Below are 17231 nucleotides of genomic sequence, written 5' to 3'. Positions count from 1 at the left end.
GGGGTTCTGTGGAACACAAATGGAAAACCACCATTCTGGAAGGTTCCTTCTGGATCTTAGCACATGAGTAATCTAAGTTAAATACCCATGACAGGATTATTTTATATTCCTGAAAACTATATGGAAGTTAACTGTGGCGGGGCGTGGTGGCTCACGCCTGTAATCCCAACACTTTGGGAGCCTGAGGCGGGCAGTTCACAAAGTCAGGAGTTCGAGACCAGCCTGGGCAACATAGTGAAATCCCATCTCCACTAAAAAATACAAAAAATTAGCTGGGCATGGTGGCAGGCGCCTGTAATCCCAGCGACTAGGGAGGCTGAGGCAGGAGAATGGCTTGAACCTGGGAGGCAGAGGTTGCAGTGACCCAAGATCATGCCACTGCACTCCAGCCTGGGTGACAGAGACTCCATCTCAAAAAAAAAAAAAAAAAAGAAGAAGTTTACTGTGATGGATACCTAACATATTTATTGATTGCACTTTTCTCCAGTGAAAAGATTTTATTTATAGTATTAGTATTATTTATTTATAGTATTATAACAGTTTAAGTAAAATGTAAAAGTCCTATCCTTAGTTGATTAAAACAGAACAACAAAGATCCAATTAACACAGAAGTTTGAATTACTAACTGCAGAGGAGTTTTTATGAGCCATCTAGTTAGTCTCTAACACTTTCCCAAACCTTTCTTCTCTTTTTAAAATGGGTAGAAAGGATAGTATCATAAGAAAGATATGCATAAAGTTATGAAAATGTAGGCTAACAGCAATGAGAGTGTAAAGAACTAGCTATTATAATGCCAAATGCTAAACGTTTTTCCTTTGTGGTAAAATATAATATTACTGTATGATCACACATAAAATTGGAAAAAAAATCCATAGGCAATAGACTACTTACTCCATACAAAGTGCAGCAACACTAGTTTGATTTTGCATAAATTTGTAAGCATTTTGAGAGTTGTAATAAAAGTTTAATGTCCATCCTAGAAATGATGAAGGGATTCAACATCATTTTACTGAAATTTGTCAAAGCCATTGAAAGCTCATTTAAAATATTTAAGTGCATTTTACCGAATAGTTTCAACATACTAGCCTGATACTAGTAGAAGGCAGGAGGTGGAATACTTGGTCCTTATTTCTTTTAGGAGTAGTGAAATTTTGTTACCCAGGGTAACAAAACGAGATGTAGAGTATGCAAGATAAATGTTCTAGGCACCAGAGTGAGCAAAGTGGGAGGTAGAGTCTGGGAAGGAACTGTGGTAGAAGAGGACCATGAACTAGATGCTAAAAGGACAGGAGAATTGGGGATGTCAGAGAGAAGGCATTTGGGGGAGCAAGAGCACAGGTACTCTTCCAGCTGAGGCGTACAAAGAAGAGGCTATGAGCTGCACCATCTGTATACTGGAGCTCTTAAAGCAGTAACGAGAAACCAAATGAGCAGCAGCACGTCGTTTGTGCTGAGCCAGCACTACTTTCTCATCTGGTCTCCCTTGTGATCAATGGACGCCATGTGTGAAACGCCTGACAGAGGTGTGCACATGCCACTGCAATATGGGCAGAGCCATCTGGAGGTCAAGTTCATAATAACCTTGGTCTTCTTAGCTCCATGGTCTGTCTGTCTAAACTAATCCCTGCTCCCTATGACAAAAAGAAAATGTATCTGACCTTTGTCAAAGACAAAGTCAGACACTAGTAAAGTACTAAAATAGACATTATTCTGTCATAACCACTGCAATAGGGAAGCGATACAGTGTGAACTGAGCTTACTTTGATTGTGCAGAGTTGACTGGGTGTTTGAAAGGGAGAATGAGGGAGTAGGATGGGAGAACCAGACCGAGCTTGAGCAGGGACTGGGTTTGTTGATTGGTGCTTATGTGGAAGAAAAGCAGATTTCCCCTCACATCTTTATGACAGGAGATAGTGCTGCTAGTTAGAGCGCAGTGGTCACCCTACTGGGAGATGTGGTAAGGAGAGCAGAGTTATTTCCCTGAATTTTTGCATTTCAAAGAGATGGCCAGCAGGCGCAGTGGCTCACGCCAGTAATCCCACCACTTTGGGAGGTCTGGGCGGCCGGATCACTGGAGGTCATTCGGAATTTGAGATCAGCCTGGCCAACATGGTAAAACCCCGTCTCTACTAAAAATACAAAAATTAGCCAGATATAGCGGCAGGAGCCTGTAATCCCAGCTACCCAGGAGTCTGAGGCAGGAGAATCACTTCAACCATCTCAAAAAAAAAAAAAGGAATGGCCCTCAGGTTCTCGAGGAGACAGTTCTGGATAGTGGAAATCAACATCACAAAGAGGGAGAGAAAGCATCTACACTTGCAAACTTTCTAAAGGTACTGCTCTAAGGCAGGCAGGTGAAGGGGCCTATCTGTCTATTACCAGGTTTGGGCTGGAACAAACAGTAATTCTCCAGCAGCCTTGAGCATTCCCAGGCAGGAACTTTAAGGGGAGTGAGGGGTCATCCTAGGGGTTCAGCCTTAACTGTTAGAGACTATATTACTGGTGGTTCGAGTCTTTTAGTGGGGAAGAGAGAGTGTGGATGAAATCATTTGTTCTGAGAGTCTGTAGTTTTTACAGGCCAAAGTTGAGGCCTCATCAAAAAGAGGACTCAGAGGAGTCTTTCTAAAGTTTGAGCCGGGCATGGTGGCTCACGTCTATAATCCCAGAACGTTGGGAGGGTGAGGTGGCAGGATCACTTGAGCTCAGGAGATTCACGCTGCAGTGAGATATGATCATGCCATTGCACTCCAGCCTGGCAACAGACTGAGGCCCTGTATCTATTTTTAAAACATAAAGTAATAAATAAACTTTGGTCAAGAAGAGAGTTTTTGTCGCCCTCCAATATTTGTTCAAAATGCTCCACTTAGCTCGTTTTTTAAAATACCATCACTAAGCTTGACATTTGGTTGTTATAAAACCTGGGTCTTGGTCTTTAACTTAATTTTAGTTCTTGGGTTTTTCTCAGTATGATCACAGGGGAGTAGAAAGAGGGTTTTAACATAAGTTATTTCAGCCCTTTGCATAGCTCTTAAGTTCAGCTTTCAAGACTCCAGCTGCAGGAGGAAGCCTTTAGAAACTGGAATGACCTTGAAAAGCTTCTTCCACCCATCGCCTGGGCCTGAGCAGGTGCAATTCAAAATGACCTCAAGGGGGGAGTTGAGCTTTTATAGGCAACAGGCTGCACTTTAGTTGTCCCAGCCTGTGCAGACATACTAAATCAAAATTAACTGTTAATGATGGTGGTGTCAGTACCACTCTGCTGGGGAAACTAAAAGGCAGAGAAACGAGGCTCTAACAGCTGTCAGTAATTGGGTCACTGCCTTCCCCTGAGCACTGGCTGCCTACACTTTTGCCAGCACCTACTATCATTAATGGCCCTGCTGCCAAAAAGACTTACCTTTGCCAAGATGTTGGGCTGGATGAACACGTGTTCTTTCAGGAGAAGCCGAAAGTCCTTGAGAGAAGCACAAAAGCAGGACATGAGTCCACACAGAAAAATGTGAGAAAGGTCTGATGCATCACTAAATAGTGCCGTGGGCAGAACACGCTAACAGTGGCTGCATCCGCACTTTTGTTACTGTGGGCAGAGTGAACGGCAGGTGGAGGCTGGCTTCCCTACAAGTTTCATGTGTCCTTTTTTGTTGTCTTTTCCTGAAAAATGAGCAGACACTGTCAAAACTTCTTTATTATCAATTCAGCAATGAGAAAAAGTCTTTCCCATTATTTATTCCAAATGCGTAATTGGCATGTTACTGATTCATAATGGCGAGTGGTTTCATCCATAAATAATGATCAATTGAGTTCCTGTGTCTGATACAGACCACTAAGCAGACTAAGATCAGAGAAACCCACTCAATATTTCGCTTTTCCTTAGTGAATGTCAATGATCTGTTGAATGAGAAGCTTGAATCCCACCCTTGGTAACAGATGTCCTGGCTGGTCTCTGCTAGAATTGCAGATAAATTGTTCCACAGGTAATTCAAGTGGCTTGGAAGGAAATGAGTTCCACTCCTTATCCCTGGGAACACTCGCCACATCTATACTGTGAATTAAGAAGCTTCAGAGTGTTATTGGGGTGTTTTATTTAAGCACCTCAGTTTGGTGTTACTTACAAACCAATGTAAGTTAGTAGTTACATGTATGCGACTATGGAGGGCGGTGGAGTTCTCTCAGATTAAAAGCTCTTCTTGCTTTTCAGGCAGTACCATCAAAGTGGCAATTCAAGGAAACCCGGAAGTGAACTGCTGGGCTTGCTGTCTGGGGGTAGGCAGTGTTTCCTGCATGGTGGAGTACTCCAAAAGGGGCAACTGTGGAGCTACATCACTGGTGACCACAGAAAAAGAAATGGGATGGCTGTTTATTTGTTCTCAGAACCATCCCCTGCTCTTTTCTTCTCAGAATTGTAGGGGCCAGAGCCTGGACATTTCCATTTCCCAGTCTTCCTTGTTGACCTGGTGCTCAGTTAGGTTTATTCTGTGGGAACCCACTTGGAGCTCCAGAGCTGGTATTGTGAAAGATGTCAGAGTCAAAATGGAGTCACTGATGTTAAGAAAACCCTGACAATAGAGCCAGGGAAGGCCATGAAGAGAGGGTTTCATGCTTGTATGCCTGATCATGAAAAAGACTCTACAACAAAACACAACTTTGTACATAAAATACTTCTGCAAGGACTTCTGCCCAGCAACTGCCAGTCCAACCTTGGACTGGTGCCACCATTATTATTGATCTTCATAGCCAAGGATAATTATTTCAAAACAATTACATAATCCTCATTTTTTCCTTTGAAAACCTTTGTGTTCCTTCACCTCCCTAAATATGCACATAGTTTACTACGGTATGTGCATTCCTATTGCAATGTTCCATTCCCAAATAAACATCTTTTCTTTTAGAGAGCCTCTCTCTGTCATTTAGGTGGAAAATATAAAGATTATTTTAAGCTGAAGACATTTGAGATTCAACAGATACAGAAAGGAGCCCTCTCAGAGCTTCGTTTCTCTGACAAAAAGCAGAAACTTCTAAATGAGGGTGCCATAAATTTCCTCTTTGAAGCAGATTTTCTCCCATGAGAGAGACCAAGAGTTAACCTACCATAAATCCCCTCTTCAGTGTGGTTTCATGGCCAGAAAGAAGACAGAAAGACTACTTACAAACGAACATTATTAAAAACTTTCTTTTCTCCTGTTTTTTTTCCCCTAAAAACCTATTTGTCTTTCCTAAAGAAATCTATTTGTTCTTTCATGAGGAGACTTTTCTCCTTTCTCCCTTTCACCTATGAAGTTAGGAATGTAAGCCCCAAATTCCAACCACCACACCACACCCAGTGACTCCTCACTGAGCACTCATGTGTGCATTGCACACACAAACTGTCTTTTCTCCTGTGACTCTGTCTTTTGTCTGTTAAATTGACAGGCCCTGAGCTACCGAATGTAAGATAGTAAAGGAAAAGTTTTTCCTTCTCAATAGGCCAGTGGGAGGCACTGGCGGGAGATCTGGCAGCATCTCCAGCTGCGTCTCCTCTAAGGTCCCAGCTTTTTTGAGGCAGCCTCTCTGCAGCCTCAGCTCCTTGGGCAGGCTCCAAAGTGGTTAACTCCCACCAATGGTGGTGGTTCTGGCTCCTGGCTTCCCAATACCACCTTTTCTTTTGTTCTTTCTAGTCCTGTGGGTAGTAGTAGCCTCTTGCTGTTGCTAATATCTGGCTTGCCTCCTTGTCCTTTGTTTGACTTTTCAATTCTCTCAAGACTTTTGTATTTGGTTCCCTATATCAAATTCCCTCAACAAAATTATCTGAGATGGGCTCTGTTTTCCAAACAGGACACTCTCTGATAAAAGAGGTAGGCATGGCTTGGTCTTCCTCATCACTATCAGGGACTTTCCAATGCCAGTCTTCCTTAAATTCTTTATAGGAACAGGAAATTGGTTAGTGTTTGGGGGATATAGAGAAGAAAATCTTTTTCCTTCTATCCTCCTAGCTTCAATGGCTGAGGCCCGCAAATCAAACTGATAAAGGCAGGTGAACAAGAAAGAAAACACAGTTTAATTTATATATGTACAAATGAGAGAAAATGTGACTCAAGGAGGTAGCCAGATGCTTGATGCTTTTACACAGACTAAGCTACACAAATAAAAGGGTCTTTGGGCTTCTGAGCAGAGGAAGCAAGTTATGGGTAGGTGAGGGGAGAAATGTAAGGTAAAGAAGACTTGTCCTGTTATGCAGATAATACTCTCTGGCGGTGGGGGTGGGGTGGAGGGGATAAGACTTGTCTCCCTGGAGTAGCTGTGTCCTTGGTACGGAGACATCTTTACAAATGGAAGTGTCCTTCAAAAATATAAACTTTTTTACAAAAAAATTACTTTGTGGTATGGTTTGGATTTTTGTCCCCTCCCAAATCTCATGTTGAATTGGAGGAGGGGCCTGGTGGGAGGTGATTGGATCATGGGGGCAGATTTCCCCCTTGCTGGTCTTGTGATAGTGAGTGAGTTCTCAGGAGACCTGATTGTTTAAAAGTGATGTGGAGCCTCCCCTCCTTCCCCTGCCACCATGTGAAGAGGGTGCTTGCTTCCCTTTCCAACATGATGGTACATTTCTTGAGGCCTCCCAGTCATGCTTCCTGTTAAGCCTGCGGAACTGTGAGTCAATTAAACCTCTTTTCTTTATAAATTATCCAGCCTCAGGTAGTTCTTTATAGCAGTGTGAGAACAGACTAACACAGAAAATTGGTACCAGGAGTAATGCACTGCTATAAAGATACCTGAAAATGTAGAAACAATGCCAGAACTGGGTAATGGGCAGAGGTTGGCACAGTTTGGAGGGCTCAGAAGAAGACAGGAAGATATGGGAAAGTTTGGAGCTTCCTAGAGACTTGTTGAATGGCTTTTGACAGAAATGCTGATGATGACTATGGACAATGTAGTCCGGGCTGAGGTGGTCTCAAATAGAGAAGAGGAACTTATTGAAAACTGAAGTAAAGGTCACTCTTGCTATGCTTTAGCAAAAAGTCTGGTAGCATTTTGCCCCTGCCTTAGAGATTTATGGAATTTTGAACTTAAGAAAGATGATTTAGGGTATCTGGCAAGAGAAATTTTTAAGCAGCAAAGCATTCAAGATATGACCTGACTGTTTGTAAAAGTGTATGTTCATATGCACAAACAAAGAGATTGTCTGAAACTGGAAGCAGAGCGTGAAAGTTTGGAAAATCTGCAGCCCAGCCATGTGGTAGCCAGCCATTTTCTGGGGAGAAATTCCAGTCTGTTCTAGAAATTTTGATAAGTAAAGAGGAGCCAAATTTTAATAGCCAGGACAGTGGAGAAAATGTCTCCAGGGCATTTCAGGGACCTCCATGGCAGCCCCTCCCATCACAGACCTGGATGCCTAGTAGGAAAAAATGGTTTAGTGGGCCAGGCCCAGGGCCCTGCTCCTCTGTGCAGCCTTAGGACATGGCATCCTGCATCCCAGCTGCTCCAGCTCCAACTGTGGCTAAAAGGGGCCAAAGTACAGCTCTGGCCATGGCTTCAGAGGGTGCAAGCCCCAAGCCTTGGCAGCTTCCATGTGGTATTGGCCTATGGGTGCGCAGGTTTGGGAATTGAGGTTTGGGAATCTCCACGTAGATTTCAGAGGATGTATGGAAATGCCTGGATGTCCAGGGCAGACGTCTACTGCAGGTGGGGGGTGCCCTCATGGAGAACCTCTTCTAGGGCAGTGCAGAGGGAAAATGTGGTGTTGGAGCCCCCACACAGAGTCCCCACTAGGGCACTGCCTACTGGAGCTGTGAGAAGAGGGCTACTGTCCTTCAGACTCCAGAATGGTAGATCTACTGACAGTTTGCACTGTGTGCCTGGAAAAACCACAGGCACTAAACTTCAGCCGTGAAAGCAGCCATGTGGGCTATACCATGCAGAGCCACAGGGGTGGGGCTGCCCAAGGCATTGGGAGCCCACCTCTTGCATCAGTATGACCTGGATGTGAGACATGGCATCAAAGGAGATTATTCTGGAGCTGTAAGATCTAATGACTTCCCTGCTGGGTTTCGGACTTGCATGGGGCCTGTAGCCCATTTGTTTTGGCTAATTTCTCCCATTTGGAATGGGAGCATTTACCCAATCCCTGTACCCCAATGTGTCTTGGAAGTAACTGTTTAATTTTACAGGCTCATAGATGGAAGGGACTTACCTTGTCTCAGGTAAGACTTTGGACCGTGGACTTTTGAGTTAATGCTGAAATGAGTAAAGAATGGGGGACTGTTGAGAACAGATAATTGTATTTTGCAATGTGAAAAGGACATGAGATTTGGGAGGGGACAGGGGCAGAATGATATGGTTTGGATTTGTGTTCCCACCCAAATATCATGTCAAATTGGAGGAGGAGCCTGGTGGGAGGTGATTGGATCTTGGCGGCAGATGTTCCCCCTTGCTCTTCTCGTGATAGTGAGTGAGTTCTCATGAGATCTGATGGTTTAAAAAGTGTGGGGCACTTCCACCCCACTCTCCTGCTGTCATTTAAGATGTGCCTTGCTTCCCCTTTGCCTTCCGCCATGATTGGAAGACTCCTTAGTCCTCCCCAGCCATGTGGAACTGAGTCAATTAAACCTCTGTTCTTTATAAATTGCCCAGTCTCAGGTAGTTCTTTACAGCAGTGCGAAAACAGACTAATACACTTTGTTTTCAGGCAGTCATCAGGAGATAAAGAGCTTTTCCTGTATCTGCTGGCTCTTAATTGCCTTTAGCTCAAAATAATTCATAAGCCAAAAAGGCATATTTTGGGCTGAGATATTCTGGTACCCTTTAAGGACAATGGGAACTGGAGAAACAGTTGTAGGCCAGCAAAGGGAGGAAAAATAGAGCTGTTTGGCCACGGTGTGTTTCCATAAATATGAGCAAGAAATGATACAGAGAAGGGAAAGATGAAGTCCAGAGATCTAAGGGGGAAGAAAAGGGCCTAGCTTCCAGAATCTGAACACTGCAGAAAACCTTTCTCTCATTTTACTGTGGAAACCAGAAAGGCATCAATTTAAGACCAGGTAGATTACAGTTTGGTTCCTGTTTGAAGTTGTTTCATGACACCCATACTTTCTATTGAGGGTTTGCTGTGTGCTGCAGAGGATACAAAGGTGAATCTAATAGGATACAGTCCTAATGAAACATGCAGCTTAGCGGCAGAGATAAGGCATCCTCATAAATAACTGTATCAAAAGTGTTAAGAAGAGGAATTGAAGAGGAGAGGTAGGAACATAGTGCTGAGGGAGATTAGGAGAGGATGTTAAAGGCGTGTGCTTCCACCTCCACCTCACTGACCCATTCGGAAAAAAGGACGGCATGGGTGTCAGAGGCATTCGAACCAGAGTGACTTTATCTTGAATAGGTGCTGGATAAAATAAGGCTGAGACATACTATGCTGCATTCCAGTAGGTCAAGCATACTTAATCACAGTATGAGATAGGAGGTTGGCAGAAGATACAGGTCACAGAGACCTTGCTGATAAAACAGGTTGTGGTAAAGAAGCGAGCTAAAATCCACCAAAACCAAGATGATGACGAAAGTTACCTCTAGTCATCCTTACTGCTCATTTTATGCTAATTACAATGTATTACCACACTAAAAGACACTCCCACCAGTGCCATGACAGTTTACAAATGCCATGGCAACATCAGGAAGTTACCCCATATGGCCTAAAAAGGTGAGGAACCCTCAGTTCCAGGAATTGCCCACCTCTTTCCCAGAAAACTCATGAATAATCCACCCCTGTTTAGCATAAAATCAAGAAATACCTGTAAGTATACTCAGTTGAGCAGCCCATGCCACTGCTCTGCCTATGGAGTAGCCATTCTTTTATTCTTTCACTTTCTTAAAAACTTGCTTTCACTTTACCATATGGACTTGTCCTGAATTCTTTCTTGCATGAGGTCCAAGAACCCTCTCTTAGGGTCTAGACTGGGACCCCTTTCCAGTAACATGGGGAACCTGTGAGTGCTGCATGCCAGTGGCACACTAAGTTCTGCTAGAGAAAAAATTATTTGATGATCCTTATTAAACACAGTAAGTGACAGGGCTCAGGACATACCACTCCAAAATACGACTGCCAGAGTCCAGAATATGCCACCCCAAAATAGGCCTCTTTGGCATAAGGTTTATTTTGAGCTGGTTATTTTGAGAAACTGCAGACACAGGAGAAGTTCTGGAAAGTTACCCTTTTGTGTAAGAGAAATTTGCAGCTATAAAGGCAGTCTCCATTTTTAAGTGTGTCTCCCTCTCTGCACCAGGAGGAGAAGGAAGACTAAATCTTTAGAGATGCTTAATCAATAAAGAAGGAAGGCACCAACTTAAATCTGTACAACAAATGTGCCTTTGTTTAAGATGCTTTTTCTGGCCATCTTATCTTAGCTGGCCATTCTCTCCATCCTTATTTCTTTGTTTCAGAGAATAATGCTATTCAAGCCTGAGGTTTTAAAATCTTTCTTTGAGATCTACTCTAGAGATTTACTCATTTCTCTGGGTTATCTCCCATGTTACAGGGGGTACACATGTTATTAAACTTCCATTTGTTCCTCTCTTGTTAATCTGTCTTTTGTTATAAAGCTCATGAAGGTTGGAGGAGGGCATTATTTTTCCTCCCATACATAAAGAGAGGCAAAATGCCCTCAGGATTTGTTTTTTTCACCCCCCAAGCTGAGAACTAAATTGACATAAGAGGGATCAACAGGAAAAAACATACAGAAAATTTAGTACGATTTCACATGGCACAGGGGACTTCATAAGGAAATGAAGACCCAAAGATGCTGCTAGAGATGAACACTTGTATAAAGAATTAAAGAGTAGTAAATTGTGAAAATGTGATGCAGCAAAGGGTATTGGGTAGTGCAGTGGCTAGGAAGATAAGGATTAGTCTATGGTTTGTTCAGATTCCCCTCAGCCTCAACTTCCCATCCTTGATGATAAGAATGATACTTTCCTTCTGGAATAGGCAGAATATCCCTCATGTAGGAATTTCATCTCCTGCTTTTAGGAAACAGAAGGAAGGTCAGAGTTATCTTCTCGCATCTGCCGTTTTTTGAGTGCCTCTAACTCAAAATACTCAATATGCCGGAACATATTGTGGGGTGGCAGGTTCTTAACCCCTTCATAAGGCAGACTTTATTCAGGACCATTCAGATACGTATAGGGACCACTGTGATGGGATTTTTCAGTAGGGGAGAAAGATTGGGCTCAACTCCAAATATACCGTGGGCAAGTGGGAATTTAGAGCCAAGGAGCAGGAAATGGGTCAGTGGATGGAAAATTATTAAAAGGAAACATGCAGGGTAAGGCGGGTTCTGGCTAAACCAGCCTAACAGGATTCTTGCTGAAGGCAGGCCAGGGTAATCAGACATCATCTGGGGGTGTTACAGAACTGAACCGGGGTTGCCTGGCACAGCAAAGCCAATCACTGAAATTAGAATGATGTAGGGGAGAAAAAGTAGTATCTTCTCCTCACTTGTCACAAGGTTCACAGCAGACACCCCTATAGCAAAAAACAGGCCAGGCATGGTGGCTCATGACTGTAATCTTTGCACTTTGGGAGGCTGAGGTGGGTGAATCACTTGAGCCCAGGAATTTGAATTCAGCCTGGGCAATATAGCTAGACCCTGTAAGAAGAAGGAAGAAAGGAGAAGAGAAGAGAGGAGAGGGGAGTGGAGGGCAAGGGAAGGGAGGAGAGGAGAGGAGAGGAAAATGGGAAGGAAAGGAGAAGGAAAAGGAAAAAACCTGGAAAGGATTTTCTGAACTTCCCCTGAAGCAGATCATAAGACCTCATATGAGAGGTGTCCTCCATACACCAAGGGAAATGAAACATCCTTATTTTCAAAGACACAGAGACACAGAGAAGAATTAATAAGGAAGACTTGCTGTTTCCCCTAGTTTACTACCATTAGATCATACTCTTTGCCCTATTATATTTCTCCAAGACTGTCCACTCTTCATCAAACCTAGCAAAAACAATGCTCAGGTTTACTCCATTTCTTTGGGTCTTCATTTCCTTGTGAAGGCTCCTCTGTCATGTAAAACTTATATTAAATAAATTTGGATGCTTTTCTCTTGTTAATCTGTCTTTTGTTACAGGGACCCCCAGCCAATGAACCTAAAATGAGGGGAAGGAAAGATATTTTTTCTCCTTTACAGTGCCAAGGTTGAAAAACCCTGGCCTAGGCAATTAGGAAAGTAAGTATGTTTCTGCTGCTTTGCCAAAAAGGAAAACTGTATCCTTGATATTTGCTGAATTACCTTTTATCCCTCATTATCTAACATGAATTCAGTTTATTAACTAACCCCAGAGTGTGTGTAAGGGTGAATAAGAAACTTAATTCTTCCTGTTGAAAATAAGGAAAGAGACCCACCTCTCTACTTCGCCCCCTCTTTTTTCTAAGAATTTCTTAGCCCTTTTCAAATGTATGTAAGTCTTTTAAATAGCTAAATAAGCCTCTTTCCAGGCTCATGATTCAAAAATGTTTTCTCAAGGACCTGGGAGTCATTTCTTTGAAATGTAACCATCAAGGAAGATAATACCCTATCTTCCCAGTCTCCTGGGAGGAGGTGGGCTAACTTTGGCTATCACCTGACTCAAATTCACAAATCACCTGCCTAATGTGATGGGTTATGTCCAGCTAGCTATATGTCAGTGGATTTCTTTCTGATTTTGCAATCTCTTTAGCAGATTGTCTGAGCTGCACATCACATTCTGATTTAATGCTTATTTAATCATAACACTGTTTTCTTTCTCCTCTTTGTAAAGAAGTTTTCTGAAATGGGAGTTTTTTGTTTTGTTTCGGGTTTTTTTTTTTTTTTTTTTTTTTTACTTATATTGCCCAAACAAATGCCATTTTACTTACAATGGTTAAAGTGCAAGATCTGTCAGAGATATGGACACACAAATTTCTTCATGGTTTCGTGATAGGCTATTTGACCAAATTATTATTTTTTTTCTTTTTCTTTTTCTTTTCATTTAACAGATGAGGAAATGAAACACAAAGTTATTCTTATTTTCTTATTTCATCTTGATTGGTTTAAGATCAAGTCCTCTGTTGTTTAAATGTTTTTAGAAAGCTATTATATTATATAAATGTTCTTAGAGAGCTATTATATATGACATAAAATGTATGTATGTATTAATGAACATATATAAATGTTCTTAGAAAGCTATTATATAGTAGCTCAGAAAGCTACTATATCTATTAGAATTTGGTTAAAAACCAAATTATAACAGACCAAATTATATATAATTATATATAATAGACCAAATTATAATAGATATTAGTATTATTTTCAAATAAATTGTATGTGATCTTAAAATCACCTTTGTTTCAAAAAAAGTGGCAACTGAAGAATGATGAGGTTCATAAGTATGGAAAGGAGAGCTTTATTTTTCATAAAGGGTTGCAGCCTGCAAGTGGCCATTTTGACAGGCTGGGAAGCATAATCTCCCATCGGAAGCCAGAGACAAGCACTTCAAGGGTGAGAAGAATAAGACAGGAATTTATACTGAAGTGGGTGGCCAAATATACATATTCAATAAGCTATAGGAGGAGTCATGAATATTTATAAAATGAGAAACACATGTGCAATTGACCTCCATGCCTCTTGTCACACCAAGTGTCAGGTTCCAGCCTATGCTGAGGTCCAAGGGGAGTGGGTGGATGGGTGGCAAATAGCTGAAAGAACACTCAGGGGGCCATAGGCAGGTGAAATATGGTTTTATTCAGCAGCTCTCGTACACTGTTCCTTTGTCTCAGCTGTCTGCTCTAGCTGCACCCCTTCTGTGCAGCCAGCTCTGCAGCTTTTGTCACTCCCACACTTACAGCTGCATTCCTTGACACACTTGCTGGTTTCTGGCTCCCCTCATCCATCTGCAAGATAGTTGGCTCTCCCTACAAGGTCAGGAGCTTCACTCTCTCCCTCTGAGTGTGTGTCCCATGTACAGTGTCTGCAGGGCAGCTATAGCTTTTAAAAACATAGTGGCTTTAAGCCAAGTATGAGCTTACACACACGCGTTATACAACAAGTGGAGTTGTGCGCCTGCACTCCAAACTTGCTGAGTCATGCTGGCCTGCATGTCTGCCTCGGCCTATTCTTGACCAAAGCACGTTCATTTACCTTACACCTCTCCATGAGACCCATGTTCAAAAATGGTGGCCTTAGCATGATCCCAGGGTTAAGTTTTTGGGCCTCTGATGTCAAAAGGTGAAACAGGCCAGGCATATTGGCTCAAACCTGTAGTCCCAGCACTTTGGGAGGCCAAGATGGGCAGATCACTTAAGCCTAGGAATTTAAGACCAGCCCGGGCAACATGGCAAAACCCCATTTCTACAAAAAATACAAAAATTAGCTGGGGAGACTGCTGTGATCATGCCACTACACTCTAGCCCAGGAAACAGAGTGAGTGAGACTGTCTCGAAACAACAACAAAAAACAAACAAACAAACAAACAAAAAACAAAATATGAAGCCGAGGACATGAAAACCCTCACTGCACATCCTCCTTAGGCTGGCAAGAACCATCCCATGGTGGAAGCCAACTTCTGGTGCCATGTTTTCTCACCAGGTCCCTGTGACAAGGAAGTGGCAGTGACAGCCATGATACAGAAGCACTACCTTGAAGCTTCAGAGCAGGGACTGCACAACAGCTGCCAAGGCCAAGCCTGCTATCTCCTATGATAAGAGTACTTTTGAAGAAATGTGTCCACACTGTTTGCAGTTGCTGATTCTGGATAACTCTTGAGTGTGTCTCAAACCCAAAGCCACATTGACACCCAAAATACAGAAACTGATTAATCAAGAAGCATGAAATTATACACTCAGTTTTAAAGAAGCAAAAATTGTGAAAAAATTCAAAGACGACAAAAGTGTATTGTTGATTACTTGTAAAACATGCCGCAGAACAGTGAAACATCATGGTAAGAGTAGAAGCTTTCTATCAGCATTGAAGAGCAATCCTACTACTCCTCAAGTAAACTCAGCCTGAAGACACCAAAGAGAAGGACTGCAAACCCAAATCATGAGATGTCTGGTTCCAAAGGCAAAAGCCCAGTATTGATTTCCAGAACACCTACATCTGGAGAGTCAGTATTTTCTTGCTCCCCAAAGAATGTGAGCAAAACAAAGAAACATTTCCCTCAATGAAATGTTGGCTCCCTCTTGGCTCCCTCCCAGTTTGGGGAAATGTTTTTCTACATAATTCCAGGTTTTTCTTGTAAAAAAATGTTCCTTAGTCAGAATGAATCCCAAAAGAATCCAAAGATAGACTTCAGAAATTTCTTATCTTCTCTGAAGGGTGGACTTTGACAATAAGAAATGCCTGATGTCAGTCAGTTCTGAAACTGAAGTTAGTGAAACAACTTTTTAAACTTATTTATTTTTTGAATACATGGAAACTTGATCTGAGTGAAAAACAACAACAAAAAAGAACCAGCCCATGGTTGGTGATCTCTTATCATGAAGGAATGCTGGTTGGTTGTTTTGTGGAAGCTGCAAAAGGGAGGGGCAGTGTCAGGGTGTTGGTTAAATGAAGGGTGAAATCAGTCTTTCCAAAGGGCTGGTTTCTGTTTAATCCTTAGGGAAAAAAGTCTAATGGTGGTTAGTGAGGGAGGGGGTATAATGAGGCGTGATATGGTTTCGCTGTGCCTCCTCACCAAATCTCAACTTGAATTGTATCTCCCAGAATTCCCAGGTGTTGTGGGAGGGACCCAGGGGGAGGTAATCGAATCATGGGGGCCAGTCTTTCCCATGCTATGCTATTCTTGTGATAGTGAATAAGTCTCACAATATCTGATGGGTTTATCAGAGGTTCCGCTTTAGCTTCTTTTTTTTTTTTTTTTTTTTTTTTTGAGATGGAGTCTAGCTCTGTCACCCAGGCTGGAGTGCAGTGGCACAATCTTAGCTCACTGCAACCTCCGCCTTCTGGGTTCAAGTGATTCTCCTGCCTCAGCCTTCTGAGTAGCTGGGATTACAGGCGCCCACCACCACGCCCAGCTAATTTTTGTATTTTTAGTAGGGACGGGGTTTCACTGTGTTGGCCAGGCTGTTCCCAAACTCCTGCCCTCATGATCTGCCCACCTCGGCCTCCCAAAGTGCTGGAATTACAAGTGTGAGCCACTGCGCCCAGCCCCACTTTAGCTTCTTCCTCATTTTTCTCTTGCCACCGCCATGTAAGAAGTAACTTTCACCTGCTACCATGATTCTGAGGTCTCCCCAGCCATGTGGAACTGTAAGTCCAATTAAACCTCTTTTTGTTCCCAGTTTCGGGTATGTCTTAATCTGCAGCATGAAAACAAACTAATACAGTAAATTGGTACTAGTAAAGTGAGTGGGACATCGCTGAAAAGATACCTGAAAATGTGGAAGCAACTTTGGAACTGGGTAACAGGCGGATGTTGGAACAGTTTGGAGGGCTCAGAAGAAGACAGGAAAATGTGGGAGTTTGGAACTTCCTAGAAACTTATTGAATGGCTTTGCCCAAAATGCTCATAGCAATATGGACAGTAAGGTCGAGGCTGAGGTGGTCTCAGATGGAGATGAGGAACTTGTTGGGAATTGGAGCAAAGGTGATTCCTGTTATGTTTTAGCAAAGAGACTGGCAGCATTTTGCCCCTGCCCTAGAGATGTGTGGAACTTTGAACTTGAGAAAGATGATTTAGGGTATCTGGTGGAAGACATTTCTAAGCAGCAAAGCATTCAAGAGGTGACTTGGATACTGTTAAAGGCATTCAGTTTTATAAGGGAAGCAGAGCATAAAAGTTGGGAAAATTTGCAGGCTGAACATGCAATAGAAAAGAAAAACCCTTTTTCTGGGGAGAAATTCAAACTGGGAGAAAATTGCATAAGTAGTAGGGAGCCTAATGTTAATCCCCAAGACCTTGGGGAAAATGTCTCCAGGCCATGTCAGAGACCTTCACGCAGCCCCTCCCATCACAGGCCTGGAGGCCAGGAGGAAAAAGAATGGTTTCGTGGGCCAGGCCCAGGGTCCCTGTGCTGTGTGCAGCCTATGGACTTGGTGCCCTGTGTCCCAGCCATTTTAGCTGTGGCTGAAAGGAGCCAACGTAGAGCTCAGGCTGTGGCTTCAGAGGACAGAAGCCCCATTTCTTGGCAGCTTCCACTTGGTGTTGAGCCTGCAGGTGCACAGAAGTCATGAATTGAGGTTTGGGAAACTCCGCCTAGATTTCAGAAGACGTATGGAAATGCCAGGATGTGCAGTCAAAAGTTTGCTGCAAGGAT

General features: G+C 42.9%; 1 pseudogene, besides 2 other annotated features; it reads left to right on the top strand.

Annotated features, from left to right (window-relative positions):
• Positions 1767-2584: an enhancer, noted in NCBI's record as "OCT4-NANOG hESC enhancer chr4:84311240-84312057 (GRCh37/hg19 assembly coordinates)". NCBI's record gives its function as "activates a minimal SCP1, AML or CMV promoter by ChIP-STARR-seq in naive H9 embryonic stem cells {active_cell/tissue: H9 hESC(naive)}" and the evidence as "EXISTENCE:reporter gene assay evidence [ECO:0000049][PMID:30033119]".
• Positions 3070-4269: an enhancer, noted in NCBI's record as "CDK7 strongly-dependent group 2 enhancer chr4:84309555-84310754 (GRCh37/hg19 assembly coordinates)". NCBI's record gives its function as "activates an origin of replication core promoter dependent on BRD2, BRD4, P300/CBP, MED14 and CDK7 cofactors, with strong dependence on CDK7, by STARR-seq in HCT116 cells {active_cell/tissue: HCT116}" and the evidence as "EXISTENCE:reporter gene assay evidence [ECO:0000049][PMID:35650434]".
• On the top strand, positions 14551-15408 carry RMP24P1 (RMP24 pseudogene 1; annotated as a pseudogene).

This window comes from Homo sapiens, chromosome 4, assembly GCF_000001405.40.
Source record: "Homo sapiens chromosome 4, GRCh38.p14 Primary Assembly".
In the NCBI taxonomy this organism is placed as follows: domain Eukaryota; kingdom Metazoa; phylum Chordata; class Mammalia; order Primates; family Hominidae; genus Homo; species Homo sapiens.
The sequence above is the reverse complement of the archived record's forward strand: the minus strand, read 5'-3'. Positions and strand labels throughout refer to the sequence as shown.